General features: G+C 37.4%; 1 protein-coding gene across 2 annotated transcripts in view; it reads right to left on the bottom strand.

The window, feature by feature from the left end:
• The window catches only part of RPP30 (ribonuclease P/MRP subunit p30), a 36,583-nt gene that overhangs the window by 12,712 nt on the left and 6,470 nt on the right, over positions 1-17,401 (bottom strand). For both annotated transcript variants that reach the window (NM_001104546.2, NM_006413.5), the window contains exons 5-8: positions 16,711-16,782; positions 9,944-10,033; positions 954-1,070; positions 362-391 (exon numbers count right to left, since the gene is read on the bottom strand). In NM_001104546.2, coding sequence (NP_001098016.1) covers positions 362-391; positions 954-1,070; positions 9,944-10,033; positions 16,711-16,782 — 309 coding nt within the window. The remainder of the gene's footprint in view (positions 1-361; positions 392-953; positions 1,071-9,943; positions 10,034-16,710; positions 16,783-17,401) is intronic.

The raw sequence follows: 17,401 nt of genomic DNA, 5'->3' as shown, positions 1-17,401 counted from the left end.
ATTATTTATAACATTTCAATGACTTATAGCAAATTAATAGAAAATTTAAGTATCCAAAAATAAAAAAATTACATAAATTTAAGTCCTTATAATTTTGATGGGTTTCATAGCTTTTGAAAATATAAGAGAAGCTTGAAAGGCATTTTGTAACAGTATAAAAGAAAAACTGATTATATAAACAAAAGTTGAAGCCTAAAGAAAGTGGGGATAAATTTTACTATTTAGCAATTACAATGAGCAAATGCAGTTAAAATAGAAAAAAATGCAACAAATATTCATTTACTATTTTAATTTATCCCCTAGAAACTGAAAAGTTTTATAACCTGAAAGATGAAAACAAAGTACTTCATGCTAGACTTACCCTTTCTGCAGCACTAGATATAATTACATTCTACAAAATAGAAAGTGACTAATATTAATCTTAGATAAATGTAAAAAAAGGAGTTTCATAATATAAATAGCCAGTAATCATATTTTAACATTTAAGGCTCAAATACCAACTTCTTTTAAAGATAAGGTAAATAATTAAGGTGAAAAAAATGAAAAGACTTCATGTCAAACTAAAGGCAATCTGTAATAAAAAACAAAATATGTTTTCCTAACAGATCTTAGTAAAGGTGAATTAAGTTTAAAAAACAAGATGAAAAGGTCACATATCTTAATTCAACTCAGTGAGGACCATTGTTATTCTAGACTTTTCTTTCACAGTATGTAAATTGCAAATTTTTATCAAAAGATATGGCTTCCAACACATCTTTTTCTCCCTTACATTATTCTTCCCTTGGTATTTTTCTTTCCCTTAAAATTTGCAGAGCTCACTGAAATGGCAGAATTTGTTCCTATGCTATGAGAACATTCTGCTTTAAGGAAAAGGAGTCAGTTTGACAATTCCAGTGTACTACTAATAATAAACTGCCAGATGCGAAAAACATCCTAAAATTATAGAACCATACCTTTCCTTTGCAGATTTGCATCAAATTGAGGGCACTGGAAATTGTATACCTTCTCATTGTGGAGTCTTTGATAGCAGGGCTATAGACAAGTTCAAAAGCCAGGCCTCGGTCAATCGCCTTCACAGGAAATAAAGAGAACTGTCAGAGATAAGCATGCACTGGCCTACTTCATTTTCACTGATTCTCTCTTCACATCCCTCCTCACTCCCTACTACTGACCCCTTACATGTCAAGGTACAGCTTTATGAAAGACAGATCAACACTCAAATGGCACCACCCACAAGGAGAAGAAAATAAATCCGTGGCTCTACTTGATTAAGAGAGTTTAACTTGGCTGTGGGGAAGCTGACTTTACATAAACAGGAATTATGAAGAGGCTAAGAAGAACAAAGTCCCAATGGCGTGAGAGAGGGGCTACTACTCCATGAACTATCAAAAGGAAAACAGAAATGTACTCCCTACATTTACAGTAAACTGTATACAAACATAGTAAACCAAGTAATCTGACCTATGAATGCACAAAGAGACAAAGAAATGAAGAGCTGAAAAAAGCCCAAAGAACCAAGGGCAGGAAGGTCTTTCAGGTAAGTAATTTATTCTCTATATGTTGAAGAGAGAATAACAGCCATAGTTAATTGAGTGCTGACTATATGCTAAGAGAGTCTTATATATAATATTTAATCCTTACTACAATACCTTTATAAAGCATTACTGCAAAGCCTGCAAATTGCCCAGATATCTGTCCTCTCCTTTTTCTTTAGTAATAAAGCCCCTGATTTTTCACTGGGCTTATAGCCGCACAGCAAAAAAGATGGAAGTGCCCTTGAAGATTTTGCCCAGCTCACCATACAAGCTTGGCTTTTTTCATGAGAAACAGAAACTTCTTTATTTAATGTACTCTTACTACAGAGGGATCCACAGGTAAGTAGATGAGTGGAAATGATATTGAAATTAACCACCATACTGTTCAGCTTTCCTAATGAGCACCTAAATGTCTGCATCCATTCACAAAAGATGTTTTAAGCCCACTACGTGCAAAAGCTGAGATGGTTTCTCCCTTCTAAAAGCTTACATTTTAGTGGGGGAGATGATCAATAACCACACAAAAATACAAAACTTCAACTGTGTTAAGTGCTATCAAGGAGAAGTTTAGGGTTGAGGAAGAAATTAAGCAGTTAAATAGTAGAGGAAGGTGCACTTTCAGAGGGAGGTCAGAGCATGCAAAAGTCTTCAAGGTTGCAGCATGGCAGCACGTAGGGAAGGTCAAATGCTGGAGAAAAATAATGAGGAAGACAGGCTAAAGAGGATGGGAAGGGCCAACTGTGCAGGCCTTTAGAGCTGGTGATGAGGATTATTCCTAATGGAGAAAACATCTGAAGGATTTTCAGCATAGAGATGATAATCAGACTCTCAATTGCAAAAGTCACTTGAGTGGCAGTACTCTTTCAAAAGAATAAAGAAAGAATGGTAGGCATGTTCTAGGCAGTATGGTCCAAGTCTCTGCTTGGCAAATGAGTTTCGATTGCCCAGAGTATAAGTTGGGACTGGCCCAGCTGTGACTACTGGGGTTTACTCCTGAGCATTTACGGGGAATGGAGAAACTTGTCTTTTTCTAGAACTGGCAGTCCATCTTGATTTAATTCAGTTGTACTTGAAGGCCCCTTCTGCTTTTCCCTCCCGAACACAGATTTCCTTAATTCTTCCTCCGGCTTCAAGGCTCCCAGATTTTATTTTAGATTTTCCTATATGTCTGATTCTAGTTTGGTTAGAATTTAAATGCTATTTTCCACACTGCAACCTTTCCCTCTCTCATTTTTTGACTTTTCCCCATCTCTAATTCTTTCACCTGTGTTGATTATTTCTGGGAATGACATTTGTTAAGATAGTATTTCTGTCCTAGTTGAACGTGTATCTCATTGGCTCTGCCAAGCTTGCACACTTCTTGAGAGCTAGACTGCCTTTTACATAAAAGGTGTATAATATATTTATATTTTGAGTGAATAAATAGCAGCTTATGGAGAAGATGTCCTGTGATAACGTTGTTCATTATAGATGATCCATCATCAAAGGAACCTCGGTGCACCTGGCTAACCAAAAACCACAGATAAGTAAAAACATCCCTTTTAGCCATATTATCAGCCATCTCCTTGGCTATATATTTTACCAAAACTACTAATTAGCTGAAGAGGCTGACCTGTATTTCTTTTCCTTATCCTTCTAGTTGTGGAACGATAATACAAGGCAACAGGATGATGAAGAGGGGAAATAAATGAAAGAGGTGAATGATATATAGAGTTGGATGCTTAGATCTCGAAATATTCCTAATTGACTGAATCTAAATTTCTAGACCCTTGTGGGTACCAAATCAAAATAAAAACAACTTTTGCGGGGGGAGGGGAGAAAAAAAGGATATTATCAGCATAATTATTTTTTAAGGAAAAAGTTCTGATTTTCATCTTGGTACATTAATCAAGTTCACTTTAAAACTGCTATAGGAATTCTTGAAAAAGAAAAATTAAAAATAATGTGCTATTGAAGGTTGTGAATATTTCTTTCATAGCATCTTATTTTAAATTTTTAGATGGATAAAATACAGACTCATTACCTGGGATCTTGCTGTAAGACCATTTTGATGCAAATTGCCTAAAGCTCATCAAATGATTGTTCCTAACAGCCTCTTCCTAACAGTGCCTGCCTGATTAGCTTTTGTTCTCATGTCTGACCAAAGGTTCTGGCATGGGTGGATGATCACATTTCTTTACTAATGAAAAATAATGGTCATAAAGATGCTACTAAGGACAGGTGTGTGACAGTTGAATCAAGATACATTGGTACTAAAATTCCAAGTATTAAGCAAAGCCTTAGAGAAAGACGAGAAGAAAGTAAGGAGCTGATTACTGGGACAATATACTGATTCCCTGTTAATTTCATAAAAATTAGTTCTTTATTCAATTCAAATGAATGAAACCCTTTCAGTGTTTAAGACAGGTAATTTGTCCACATGACTCACAAAGCAACATAAGAAAACAATAAAAAGTACTACTTGCATCTCCAATCCTATCTGCCCTATCCCTTCCTCCAATAATCACTTTTATTAATTTCTTGTGTCTTCTTCCAGAGTTTCTTCATACAACTATAAGCAAATACGAAGAGATACTATTTTTCTTTCCTATCCAAAAGGTAGTCTGCTGCATTGTTGTCCTGACATGAAAGCTCTTCCAAGTCAGCTCATAACTTCCTCTGTTTTACAGTTGTAGAGTATCATATTGTAGAGGTATAGCATGTATTTAACCAAACCTCTACTGAGAGCCTTTGGGTGGTTTCAGTGTATCTGTAGAATAACACTAAAGTGGGATTGCTAGGCATAATGGGTTGAATTGCGTCCTCATCCACAAAAGATACAATGAAGCCCTAAACCTCAGTACCTCAGAATGTAATCTTATATTTGGAAATAGGGTCACTGTAGATGTAATTAGTTAAGATGAAGTCAGATTGGAATAGGGTAGGCCCCTAATCCAATATGACTGGTGTCTTATGAGACGATGGCCATGTGAAGACATAGAGACAAACAGGGAGAACACACTGAAGACAAAGGCAGAGACTGGAGTTACGTAGCTGCAAGCCCAGGATTACCAAAGATTGCCAGAAAATCACCAAAAGCTAAAAAGAGGCAAGGAAGGTGGTCCTATAGATTTCAGAGGGAACAAGACCATGCTGACACCTTGATTTCAGACTTGCAGGCTTCAGAACTGTGAGATCATACAGTTTAAAACTGTTGTTTAAATCAGTAAACGTATTTGTAATTTGAATAGTTGTTGCCAAATTACCCACTCTCCGCATAGGGACTGTTCTCATTTACACAGTTACGAGCAAAATATGAGAATGTCTGCTTTCCTGCAGCCTTACAACAGAGTGTATCTCTAATCACACAGGTGATTTTAATGTGAAATCTCTTACTATGATAAATTTAATCATCTTTTCATATGTCTAAGGCCTGTTTGCATTTCCTTTACTGTGAAATGCCTTTTTCATATTCTTAATCCATTTTTTGGTATTGTTCATCTTTTTTTTTAACTTATTAATTTCTAGGCACTCTTTGGTCTTTATGTGTTAAGGGAATAAGCATTTTGTCTATGACATGAGTGAAAATTTTCCATCAGTTTGTCATCTGTCTTTTAACCTTGTTTCTGGTGTTGTTTGCATTTTTTTTTTCCACAGAAATTTTTAATACTGGCACAATTTGCTGGCACTGAATGGACACAGTACTTAACACATTAGATTCATGTGTGATAAAACAAAGTTTACAGAACACTCACATCCAAATCAAGTATTTATAGCATGATTCATGGAACTACCTCACTGTTTAGATACTACTTACTAAACATCTCTCAGTGGGGAGTAATCGGACCACGAAGACAGAAATGGATTAGGGTTAAAGGAAGGACTGAGGGGAAAACATCAGAGAGAGTGTAAAACATATAAGATCCCTTAAAATAACTCAATAAGCTTGAAGTCATTGTTAAGTGACAATAACATTGAAATGGAAATAACATTGTAAAAAAATCAAAGGGAAAGTAAAGAGATACGTGCTGTTTTAAGAACATCCTTCTTCTCACAACCTGAATTCATAAAGCTCATGTTTTAAAATATGAAATTACTCTGTGCTTAACAAAGAGTTCTGCTGTAAAGTAACTTTAAAAAGCATTTCCCAGTAGGAAATAACAGCAGATTTGGAATCAAAGCTTGAGTACAAATCCCTTGTCAACCCCTTGAGAGAGTCATTTAACTGTGTGAACCATGAACTACCTAAGATTCTACTGTATTACCTGCATATGGAGATAATTAACATCTACCCCATCCCAAAACTGCTGGGCCAAAGCAGGTATCAAACTGCTTATGTCATAAAATGCTAAATAATCTGAAGTCATGTGATTATTCAAGAAAAGGAGTGGAATCCAATTTTTTAGAAACACATCTATCACATGACAGAAATGCGATGACAAGTTACTTAGACTCCAGAAGAGGTTTGTGGGAGATTTTAGAGGAAATTGCATAATTGAAATTATGGTGCCCTAAGCATACAGTGAAGATGACAAAAGGGAAAAGAGCTGCAAAGTACACAAATGGAGTGTTTGGTATGCTATAGAGCTCCTGGGCCCTCCTTCACAATCCCAACCTTCCAAGCTGATGATTCTCACATGGCATCTGGCCTATTGGTAAAAGATGAATGATTTACCTTTCTTAATACTGCTTTTCACCACAACCAAAGAAAAGGGCCCACATCGTGACAAAATTAAGATCTGTGCTTAATTTAAAGTATCCTGGCCGAGGCGGGTGGATCACTTGAGGTCAGGAGTTCAAAACCAGCCTGGCCAACATGATGAAACCCCAACTCTATTAAAAATAAAAAAAAAATTAGCCAGCTGTGGTGGCGGATGTCTGTAATCCCAGCTACTTGGGAGGCTGAGACAGGAGAATTGCTTGAACTGAGGAGGCGGAGGCTGCAGTGAGCCGAGATCACACCACTGCACTCCAGCGTGGGTGGACAGAGCGAGACTCTGTCTCAAAAAAAAAAAAAAAAAAAAAAGTAATCCTTATAAAGTGATCCTTTTAAAGCCAATCTATGAACTTCTCAAGGCCAAAAACAAGTTTACACTCAAAGCCAAGGGAACATGCAAGGACCAAGACTGTGCTCTCACAATGTATACATTTCCATACTTTATGTAGACAAACAGCTCCACAGCCAGACTGGATATTATGTTACAAATAATACATACATACCTATGCCACAACTATTATTTACTCTGAACAACAAGCTAGACACCTGTATGTTTCCAACTTTCTCTCTTTAATAAAAAATAGGTGAATAAATTAACAGGGACTCTTCTGCTTCCTGACCAATTCACAGTGCAGCCTACTCTTCTACTAGATGAAGACTAAAAATAATCTTGTGCAGCCTTTCTTTCCACTCCATCATCTAGTTTTTATTAAACAACATATGCAAAATGTTCACACCAGATTTTTTTTAAAGCAGACACCATGTTAAACTGCATATCCCTCTCACTTGACAGAATTTTTTACTTTTCAGAATTCTTAAATTGAAAAATGTAGGAATTAAGCGAAAAATGCCCATCAAACGAAAGGAGCTTTCCTGAACTTCCCAATGGAATCAGGGGGTGGGGTGTCCTGGTGTCAACTGTCTTGAGTGCCACTGTCCTCCTCATGTTGCCCCACTGCCCCACTTCCCTCACGGCATATACTTCCTGATGAATGTGGACATCCAGCTGGTGACTAACAACGAGCAGAATTTGGCCAGGTCCCCTATGCTGTACCCTGATATGCTAAGTTCAACATGTACTTATTGACTCAACAAACTGTAAGGAGGACTCATTATACGCAAGATAGTGGAGTACTTAAAAAAGGACCATGACAGCCGGTGTTCTCTAGGAGCTCACACTCTGGTTTAAATAATAATACAAGTTCCTAAGAACCCCAATTAAAAGCTCTCACCAAAGCAGCCACTGGGAATCTTACCACTGTCGTGAGACATGAGGAATTATCTGTTGTGCATTGCTGTCCATTCCATGGACTTGGCCTTAACATCACATGCTAGCTCCTCCCATCAAAGGTCACAGTATCGTATGTGGGCTTATTCAGGCAAAGCCATCTAGAAAATGACCTTCCTAGTTCATTAAGATGAAGAAAAAGGTGAAAAAGTTGCAAGTTCACTAGCAATTTGCTGAGTAGCTATAGTGCCCAACTCTGGGGGTGCTACTTCCACAGAAACTGTATTGGCAGTTTGAGGCTGGTAAAAAGGTTAGGCAAACTTCTAAAGACAGAGATTGCTACCTCTGGAGAGAAACAATATGTGAGGCCAACAAGACTGCCATAACCTTGAGTACTGTATTAATTTGTGGCTTTTATCATAGGTACCTGGGGCACATCAGAGATCTTGACAGACAACCAATCAGAACTTTCCTAACCCTGTGTGACTACAGAACTGAATGACTTCTTGTAGTTTTTCATTTCCCCACATTTGACAAATGAACTGTTGCACAACATAGATTTCCAACTCGAAAATGTGGTGATTCAGTGGTTTTTCACTGTTTACTTATTTATTTATAAGTACTGGCAATAACACAAGGAACCAATGATTTGAGCTCAGCCAATATTGTTATGTTCACTAGTACTGTCAATATTTACCCTAGGCCGGGTGTGGTGGCTCACGCCTGTAATCCCAGCATTTGGCGAGGCTGAGGCGGGCGGATCACAAGGTCAGGAATTTGAGACCAGCCTGGCCAACATGGTAAAACCCCATCTCTACTAAAAAGAAATACAAAAATTAGCCGGACATGGTGGTGTGCACCTGTAATCCCAGCTACTCAGGAGGCTGGGGCAGGAGAATTGCTTGAACCAGGGAGGTGGAGGTGGAAGTGAGCCGAGATCGTGCCACTGTACTCCAGCCTGGGTGACAGCAAGACTCCGTCTCAAAAAAAAAAAAAAAATTTACCCAACAAGAGCTTTTATGTTTTTCCCTTGAAATATATGATGATATATTTTTAGTTTGAGTAGCATATTTTTAGGGGTAGAACATAAGCTAACTTAAACTTTTCCCCATTGGGTGGGTCAGGCATGGTGGCTCATGCCTGTAAGCTGAGCACTTTGGGAGGCTGAGGTGGGAGGATTGCTTGAGCCCAGGAGTTTGAGACCAGCCTGGGAAACATGGTGAGACCTCAACTTTACAAAACATAAAAAAATTAGCCAGGTGTGGTGGCATGCACCTGTAGTCCCAATTGCTCAGGAGGCTGAGGTAGGAGGATCACTTGATCCCAGGAAGTTGAGGCTGCAGTGAGCTATGATCATGCCACTGCACTCTAGCTTGGGCAATAGAGTGACACCCTGTCTCTACTACTACTACTACTACTACTAATAATTTTTGCCACACTGAATTTTCACATACTAATTTTCCATTTTCTCCTCTTACTGTCTCCCTCTAATTCTCAAGCCAATTCCTTAGCACCAAAGAGAATTAAAATTGAGAAAGTTATGATTCTACAGAGGCAAAAGAGCAAGGGAATTATCCTTTGAAAAACTTAAAAAAAATTAATCTTCTGATTCTGACAGGATTGGATATGTAATTTTGACTGTATTTGCTAAACTCTTTTTTTTCTCCTTGGATACCAGTTTTTGAGAACAGGAGACTAGGGTTTTGGAAGCCACTACTCTAAAATAGCATCTGAACTCCTCCTAGGATCTGACTGGCAAAGCAAATAGTTAACAGCTGTGCTGACCTTTTGCTACTAAAATAGTTACTGGTGTGAAATAATATTACCTTATGATGGAAATGGGAGGAAATTAAGACAGAAGAAGGAATGGACAGATAGAAGATGAAGGGTATGGGAAAACAAGAGAAAACTATGTAGAAGGGGAATGAGAAAAATTCTATAGCAGAGGGAGAAACAAAAAAGTTTTCTGAACACATGGCCATCCTATTAGGTTCATATAAAAGTAACTCTGGGCTCTTTGTGAATAAGCATGCTTCAACACAGATTTTAATTTTGCATAGACCACGTCTATGTGATGCCATGCCCTGTTCCCTCTTGACTCTCTTTAGCTTCCTGGTGCCTCAAGGATCCTCTGCTTTTTATTTTTTCCCTTCCTCTTCTTTTTTGACTGCTCTGTTCCCTTAATAATTGATGTTCAGGTTATAAGTACCCATGATTATTAGCTATCCTCTTAAGAAATATCCTTTATAAATTTTGGGTTCTATGGCCTTTTAAAAACATCTTAATAATTAACTGGATATTTTTAATTTTAAGCTTTCTTTCTCCCTTTGTTCAGCTTTCAAAACGAAAATTCTCTTTTCTAAAACTGCCTCCTATTCCCTAGCCTTTGTTTTTCCTTCTAAGAACACTGATTTCTTCTGCTTCTTTTCCAATTTGCTAATGTAAGTTTCTAAGATTCAAATACAGAATGGAAAGTACACTTACCACATTAATAGGAGGTCTTTTGAAGTAAAATGGTAGTTTCTCTGTTACAGTTATGCAGACTAAATCCACATCTAAATGTGTGCAAGCAATCTGTAAAGAAGAAAAAAATAGGTAAGGCCAAAAGGAAAATTGGCACAAGTAAGAATGGGAGATAGGGTCAAACTCGATATAAAGTATGGTTCACTCCATAGGTGTTTTGATGGTTCTGTGTTGAAATACATCTGACCTTTTACAAAGTCAACTGTTTTGCTACTCTTTTAGGTTTGGTTTAAATGGTTTAACTGTAATCCAGCAAAAGCGGAATATGTCCACAGACTTTCTCAAAAGATAGGGCCTGGAGACTCTCTAACTCATATGGTCTTCTACATAAGGATGGGTTGCAGAGCGAGGCTCAGTTTCTGGAAGGTTACTTCAGACTGTCCCAGAAAGAAGAAACTGACTATTCTAAAACCCAAGGAAAAAATAAGCCAAATGGAATGTATGCATAGTCCATTTATCCCACACACTATTTATTGAGCAACTCTGTGCCAAGAATTGTCCCAGGGCTGTGGCTCCTATCAAGTCTACTGAGTAGCTAAAGAAATATGAACACAGCACCTCATGACATTTGTTCAAATACTAATAGAAGGAATCTACATAAATAGTTAAAGCAGAGCTACTACAAAGCAAATGATAATGAATGCATTTTCTCAACTTTTAATTTCCCTTTCTGTTGTTTTAATTTTTGCTATGACTTGTTGAGTAATACTCTGCATTTTCTTCTCAAAGAGATTTGAAACTGTTTATGAAAACCACATACAAGATAAAATAAACAGATAAGAAAATCAGGATAAATGGAAAATCAGGGAAGAAAAATAAAGCTGGGAAAAGGTTACTAGTGTAGAGGGCAAGCCAGAAGACACTGCTGGAAGAAACATACCTGGCTCTGATTTTGCCATTATTTGATTTATAGTGATAAAAATATTTGGCTGTTATGTATTACATTAAAAACAAAGCTTACTGACAATGCTAGTGTGTACAGGCTTGACAGACAAATTCAAACTTCCAGGATGGCTACGCTGACAAACAACATCAGTGGCATGTACCAGGGGAAAGGGCAGAGTAAGGAAGAGTGGAGAAAATGACCTATAGGATTGGTGCCAACCTTCGGCAATGACAGGAATACCGTATCTTGCCCTTTTTCTTCAGAATCCCCACTTCAGTCACTCCTACTCCAACCCCAGGGCTTTAGGAAGTAGAGATCAGAGGCTGGCTAGCTTTAAGACAGTCATAGTAACTTAGTAAGCCTGGGAAGCAATGTTGTTTTGGCAGAAATACTTGGCTCATAAAGAATCTGCCCCATCCCAACTGCCACAGCTGTCCAACTCATAAAAGAGTCACTGAAAATTTAATAAGAGTGGATGAAGAAAAGCTCTGAATGATAGCTGAAACAAATTCAGCTCTGTTCACCATTTTTTATCGATCATACTGGCAAAGATAAAAAAGTTTGGTACTACCTTGCTGACATGAGAATGAATGAACAGGCACTCAAAAGGTCTTTAAATCAGTATAAGGTCTTGAAAAGCATTTTAGCAATGGCTACCAAAATTTTAAATGCACACACCAACAATTCTACTTATAGGTATGTAGTAGGTATAAGTGGAGTCTCCTATAGAGAAGTCTCTATAAGTGCAGAGACTCTAAAAATATATTACGTAGCTATATACCCTACAAAGGCTCAGGGGACATTAGTACAATGACAGTCATTGCAATACCAATCATGAAAGACTAGACACAATTAAACATCCCTCAATTTTACTTCAATTATGATCCCTTTATATGATGGAATATGCCAACTCATTAAAGGAAATGATGTACATCTCTAATGGATATTATGGAACAACCTCTAAGAAACTGTAAGGTAAAAGAAGCATGGTGTTAGGTAGGAAGGAAAGAGGAAGGGAGAAAGGGGAGAACAAAGGAAAAAAAGACGAGGTAAATAATATTTCTAAAAAGATACACAAAAACTATTACTAGTGGTTGCTTCTGGAAAAAATGGGGAAGGAATTTTAGGTGGAAGTAAGGCATACTTTTCAGTACCTTTGTACTGTTTAAATTAATCATTGTGAATGTAAATTATTTCTTCAGTTTAAAAAGGTGATTAATTCTTTAAAAGCCTGTTAAACATTCTCCCCAGAATAAAGCTAAATTAGGTTACTTTTTACTTACACATTGTTCCTTTCTTCCCTTTTCCTACATAAGAGTGGCCAATTAAACAATGGCTCTATGTTGGTTTAAGTACGTGCAAATACATGCATTATAATAAACTTTTAGTTACAAGGGACAGCTCCACATGGCTCCCTCTGACACTTCAACCTTAGAATGCCCCAAACTGAATTATTTTGTTATTTAGTTTTCTATTAACCAAAATGTTCAATCAATACTTTTAGATAACCACAAAATAAAAGTTAATGTTCACACTACAATGAAACGCTTTCTATATCATTTTAGAAGATTAAATTATGCCCAATAGAGCCTTGGGGTTAAGAATCTTATAATGGTTTTCTCTGAAAACTAGTAGGTTACATAATAATTCACATCAGTTGTCCATACCAATTTTTTTTTTTTTTTTTGGCCAGAGACTCCTATGACAATTTAAAGAAAACGTATTCCCATAAAAATGCACACATATATACACATCTTTGCCTCTATGGCACAAAAGGAATAGGACTGTAGGGGTTCATATTCCTCCCTGAATCCCTTTCAAAGGTATCAGTTTGATAAATTGTGAAGAGACAATCAGGCTTACCAAGGAAAAAGAGAGATGCCCATCAACAGTGGCACTCAACTTTAATGTGTACAAAACTCCCCTAAAGAATGTATCAAAAATGGAGACAACCAGGCCCTACCTCCATTGATTCATTAAGTATGGCCTAATGATCTGCATTTTAATAAATATCCCAGGTAATTCTAAAGCCAGTGGAGCCAGACCATACTGCAAGTAACACCAGGACACTCCCTTCCTCAAGACACTACAACAGTCCTCTGCAAAGGAAAGGCATGAATTTCAGGAGCAGGAAGAAAATAAAACTTTTATTTCCATTTACTTTTATTTTTTAAAAATAGAGACAGGGTCTCACTATGTTGCCCAGGCTGGTCTTGAACTCCTGGCCTCAAGTGGTCATCCTGCCTCGGCCTCCCAAAGTCCTGGAATTACAGGCACAAGGCACTGGATCCAGCCTCCATTTACTTTTTTCTTTGAGACGGAGTCTTGCTCTGTCATCCAGGTTGCAGTGCTGTGGTGCAATCTTGGCTCACTGCAAGCTCCGTCTCCCGGGTTCACACCATTCTCCTGCCTCAGCCTCCTGAGTAGCTGGGACTACAGGTGCCCGCCACCATGCCTGGCTAATTTTTTGAATTTTTAGTGGAGTCGGGGTTTCACCGTGTTAGCCAGGATGGCCTCTCGTGATCTGCCTGCCTCGGCCTCCCAAAGTGCTAGGATTACAGGCGTGAGCCACCATGCCTGGCCCATTTAATTTTTAATTCACTATCTTAAGATCTGTTTTGTGTGTATGTAGTTTTTATAAGGCACACTGGTATAATGAGAGATGCGAATAATTTATAAGAAACATATATATATTTGGAAGCAGGCTCAAAAATTTTTTAAACTGATAGGGTGCACAATCAAAGCAGGTTAGAGACCACTGGACTAAATAACCTGAATTCTCCTCAACCTGCTCAGCTGCTTTAAATCCTAAATGGGAATAATTAATTGGTCCAGAAGCTCCAGAAGCTTCTATGCAACTCTCTCTCTGTGTCATATTCCACAGCTGTCCCCCATCCCAAGGAGCCCTAACCAATGGACCCCCTCAAAATCTTTAATCTCTGCCTTATCTCCTTAAGTAGCTATGGAGAGGGAGTTTCTATGAGACATCTTCCGGATACTCTGAGTAGAAAATATAATGGTATATTATGTCCCATGGAAATGATGCTATTTAAGATGGTTCGATTTTATACTACTATTGACATAAACATGTGTCTGTCTGTGTGTGTATGCTTGATGACTCATCTTGGAGACCTAACTTAGTTTTAGAATACCATACCTACAGAGATAGATACCTGTTAGAATTCTAGATAATCAACTTACAAACAAAATAAATAAAATCACTTGTAGAATGTAACTTAAGACACAAACTGCTTGCATTTGACCTGATTCCAAACCATGATATACCTATAAAAGCTTTAAAAGAAAGATGTCTTTTAAAATTGATTTCCTATAGAAAACAAGGAGAACTCTAATTTCAATTTAATCTTAAGGAATGGGTAATATTTGGATAGAGAAGAGGAAGATGTTCCCATTTTTAAAACTGCGTTCTCATTTAACTTTTTGAGTATATGTGTAAAGTCAATACTTTGTGCTTTCTTCCATCTTCCAAAGTATTTTTGACAGGCCCATCTACTATCATCAAGCATGTGTTCACCAAATTCAAACTTTAAGTCTGAGAAAAACAGTAAGATAAACAAGTAAAACTATTATATGAAATTACAACATAGTCTAAAACCCAAAGTCCTATCTTTAGAACAAACTTGCTGGGAGATTTAGAGCAAATCACTCAGCCTGAATCTCAGTTTTCTCCATTATAGAATGAGGATAGTAATAAATATCTGTCCCAATTATCCTACGGGATTGTCGTAAAAGTTAAAGGAAATAAATATGTAAACGTTTTTGAAAGGTTTTACAAATGTATACCTTCTTTTGTTTCTCTAATCATCAGTAAAGGGATATGGAAATGTAAGTTGCATGATCTTCAAAATTAATCCAGAAATCAAATGTACAACAAAATACTTGGTACATCTGCAACTTTTATTCTAAATCACAACTGAGTTGCTATTATTTAATAAGCAAACTAAGTTGCTGTTGGTTTTGTAACAAACTTGGAAATGCCCATGGTCTTCCTTATATTAAACACTAGTGGTTTTGGCACTGAATTATACTTTCTTACAGAACATGAAAAAACAGATACCCAGAATCAACCCCAAATCTACTGGAACAAAGTCTCCAGTGGTGAGGGCTGAATGTGCCTGATTTTAAAAAGTTCTACAGGTGTCTTTTATGACTAAAAATCACTTGCTTCTACTTACCCCTTTAACTAAAACAAAATTCTTGAGAATATCTATAATTGCATTTAAAAAAAATTTTTTTGAGACACAGTCTTACTCTGTTGCCCAGGCTGGAGTGCAGTGGCACAGTCTCAGCTCACTGTAACCTCTGCCTCCTGGGTTCAAGCAATTCTCGTGCCTCAGCCTCCCGAGTAGCTGCGAGCGTGCCACCATGCCTGGATAATTTTTGTATTTTTAGTAGGGATGGGGTTTCACCATATTGGCCAGGCTGGTCTTGAACTCCTGACCTCAAGTGATCCACCTGCCTCGGCCTCCCAAAGTGCTAGGATTACAGGCATAAGCCACTGTGCCCGGCCTACAATTGCATTTTTTAAAGGAAGTAACAACAACAACAAAAAGAGTAGGCACTCATAAATAATTTGTGCTGTTTCTCTGTTAATATAAATAATTAAGAATTGACAGTATGTCTTGAAAACTATTAATGTTTATCGCACACGTTAGCATCCTTAGTCAACAGCTCCATCTACTGGATACATCTAGGAAAAACATCTTTCTGCAATTTTAGAATGAATTTTGCTTAAAAAAAAAAAAAACTGATGTAACATTAAAACCTCAAAGACCAGGCTGCTCTGAAGGTAGTCAGTTATCTTAATTGACTGTTCACAGTCAGTTATCTTAATTGACTATTCACAATCAGTTACAGGTTGAATTCCTTGTTCTACTCTTTCCCCTTTTCTTAATAGGACACTTGACTAGTCTTTAAAAAAAAAATCAAAGAGTAGTACCTTTGGTGGTTATATTTTTGGCAGATGGACATTTTAATGAACCTAGAAAAAGGCAACTTTCAGAAGTTTCTAAAAGTAGCTATACCTCATTTTATACTTTTGGCGGATGGACACTTTAGTGAACCTAGATAAAGGTAACTTTTGAACTTTCTAAAAGTAGCTATACCTCATTTTACACAGTAAAATGCATTACAGTTGTTTTTTCCTTACTGTAATCATTTAAAATGCCCAGGGTGTTCTGTCTCAAGGTGACAAACAAGCATACACGTTAAGCTCCTTTCCCTTCTGCAAAGGCAATGAAATGGCAATTTTACAAGTACAAAAGAAATTCAATTCATAAAGGCTCTCAAGATAAGAAGAGGGATTATACTAGCAAATGGCTGATTTTGAAGAATTTCTGAAAGACTAAAAGCTGAGACAATCATGCTGGCATATGGGCTATACCACAGAGCATGCAAAGGAGGAAGCCGAAACAGAGGTAGAAACTTTTATGCTACAATAGAACCTTGCTCCTTTCCCTCCCAAGGAGCAGCAAATGGTAAGAAGGGCAGAAACTGAAGTGATTTTAGAGCTAGAAAGAGATGGATCAACACTTAGCTAAGAGAAGTTTTGAATGAATGAAGCAGAGATAAAGAAACAGAAGAAAACGGGCTCTTTCAAACTGAGCCTATCAAAGGTTAGCAGCATGAAAAAAACAAAACAAAACAAAAAAACCACAAATACCAGTTATATATACCCTTATGGGGTTCTAGAAACTCCAAGTATAAATAACAAATCCTAAAAGTTTCCAGATGAGTCAAAACAGGTCATCTACAAAGTCAGAACATCAGACTTCTTATATAACATATATACACTACTTTCTTTTACTTATCTGTTACTCACATGAAAAAGCTTTTCTGTCTTTGGAAAAACTGCAACAACATCATAGAGCCGGGCCCTTGAAGAAGTTGCTCTCTAGGAATACAAAAAGAATGTTATCATACAATAACAAAATCCATACACATGAAATTCTGTCTAGTGATTGACTCACACTTATATTTCAATCATGGAACACTTCTAATATACTGACATTTCTGCTTTGCTTTGTATGTTGGCAGAAAAGACATAAGCACATGAGAATTTAGATACAAATATCCATCTCACCAATCATTCTCCTTCCTTCCTACATTTGTTATACTTTAACCATGTACCAAACATTGTGTCTGAGATGTAAAAATCAAATTAGGCTAGGTATGATGGCTTATGCCTGTAAACCCAGCACTTTGGGAGGCCGACGTGGGAGGACTGCCTGAGCCCAGGAGTTTGAGACTAGCCTGGGAAACATTGTGAGACTCCATCACTGCAAAAAAATTTAAAAATTAGCTGGGTGTGGTGGTACACACATATGTCCCAGACACTTGAGGGGCCTGAAGCAGAAGGGTCTCTTGAGTCCCATAGGTTGAGGCTGCAGTGAGCCGCGTTCATGCCACTGCACTCAAGCCTGGACAACAAAGTGAGACCTCATCTCAAAAAAAAAAAATGAAGAAGAAGAAAGAAAATATCATCTTAAACCTAAATTGTGTGAGTCTGTATA

This window comes from Homo sapiens, chromosome 10 (genome assembly GCF_000001405.40).
Source record: "Homo sapiens chromosome 10, GRCh38.p14 Primary Assembly".
Taxonomy (NCBI): domain Eukaryota; kingdom Metazoa; phylum Chordata; class Mammalia; order Primates; family Hominidae; genus Homo; species Homo sapiens.
This window is presented reverse-complemented; position numbering and strand designations above follow the sequence as displayed.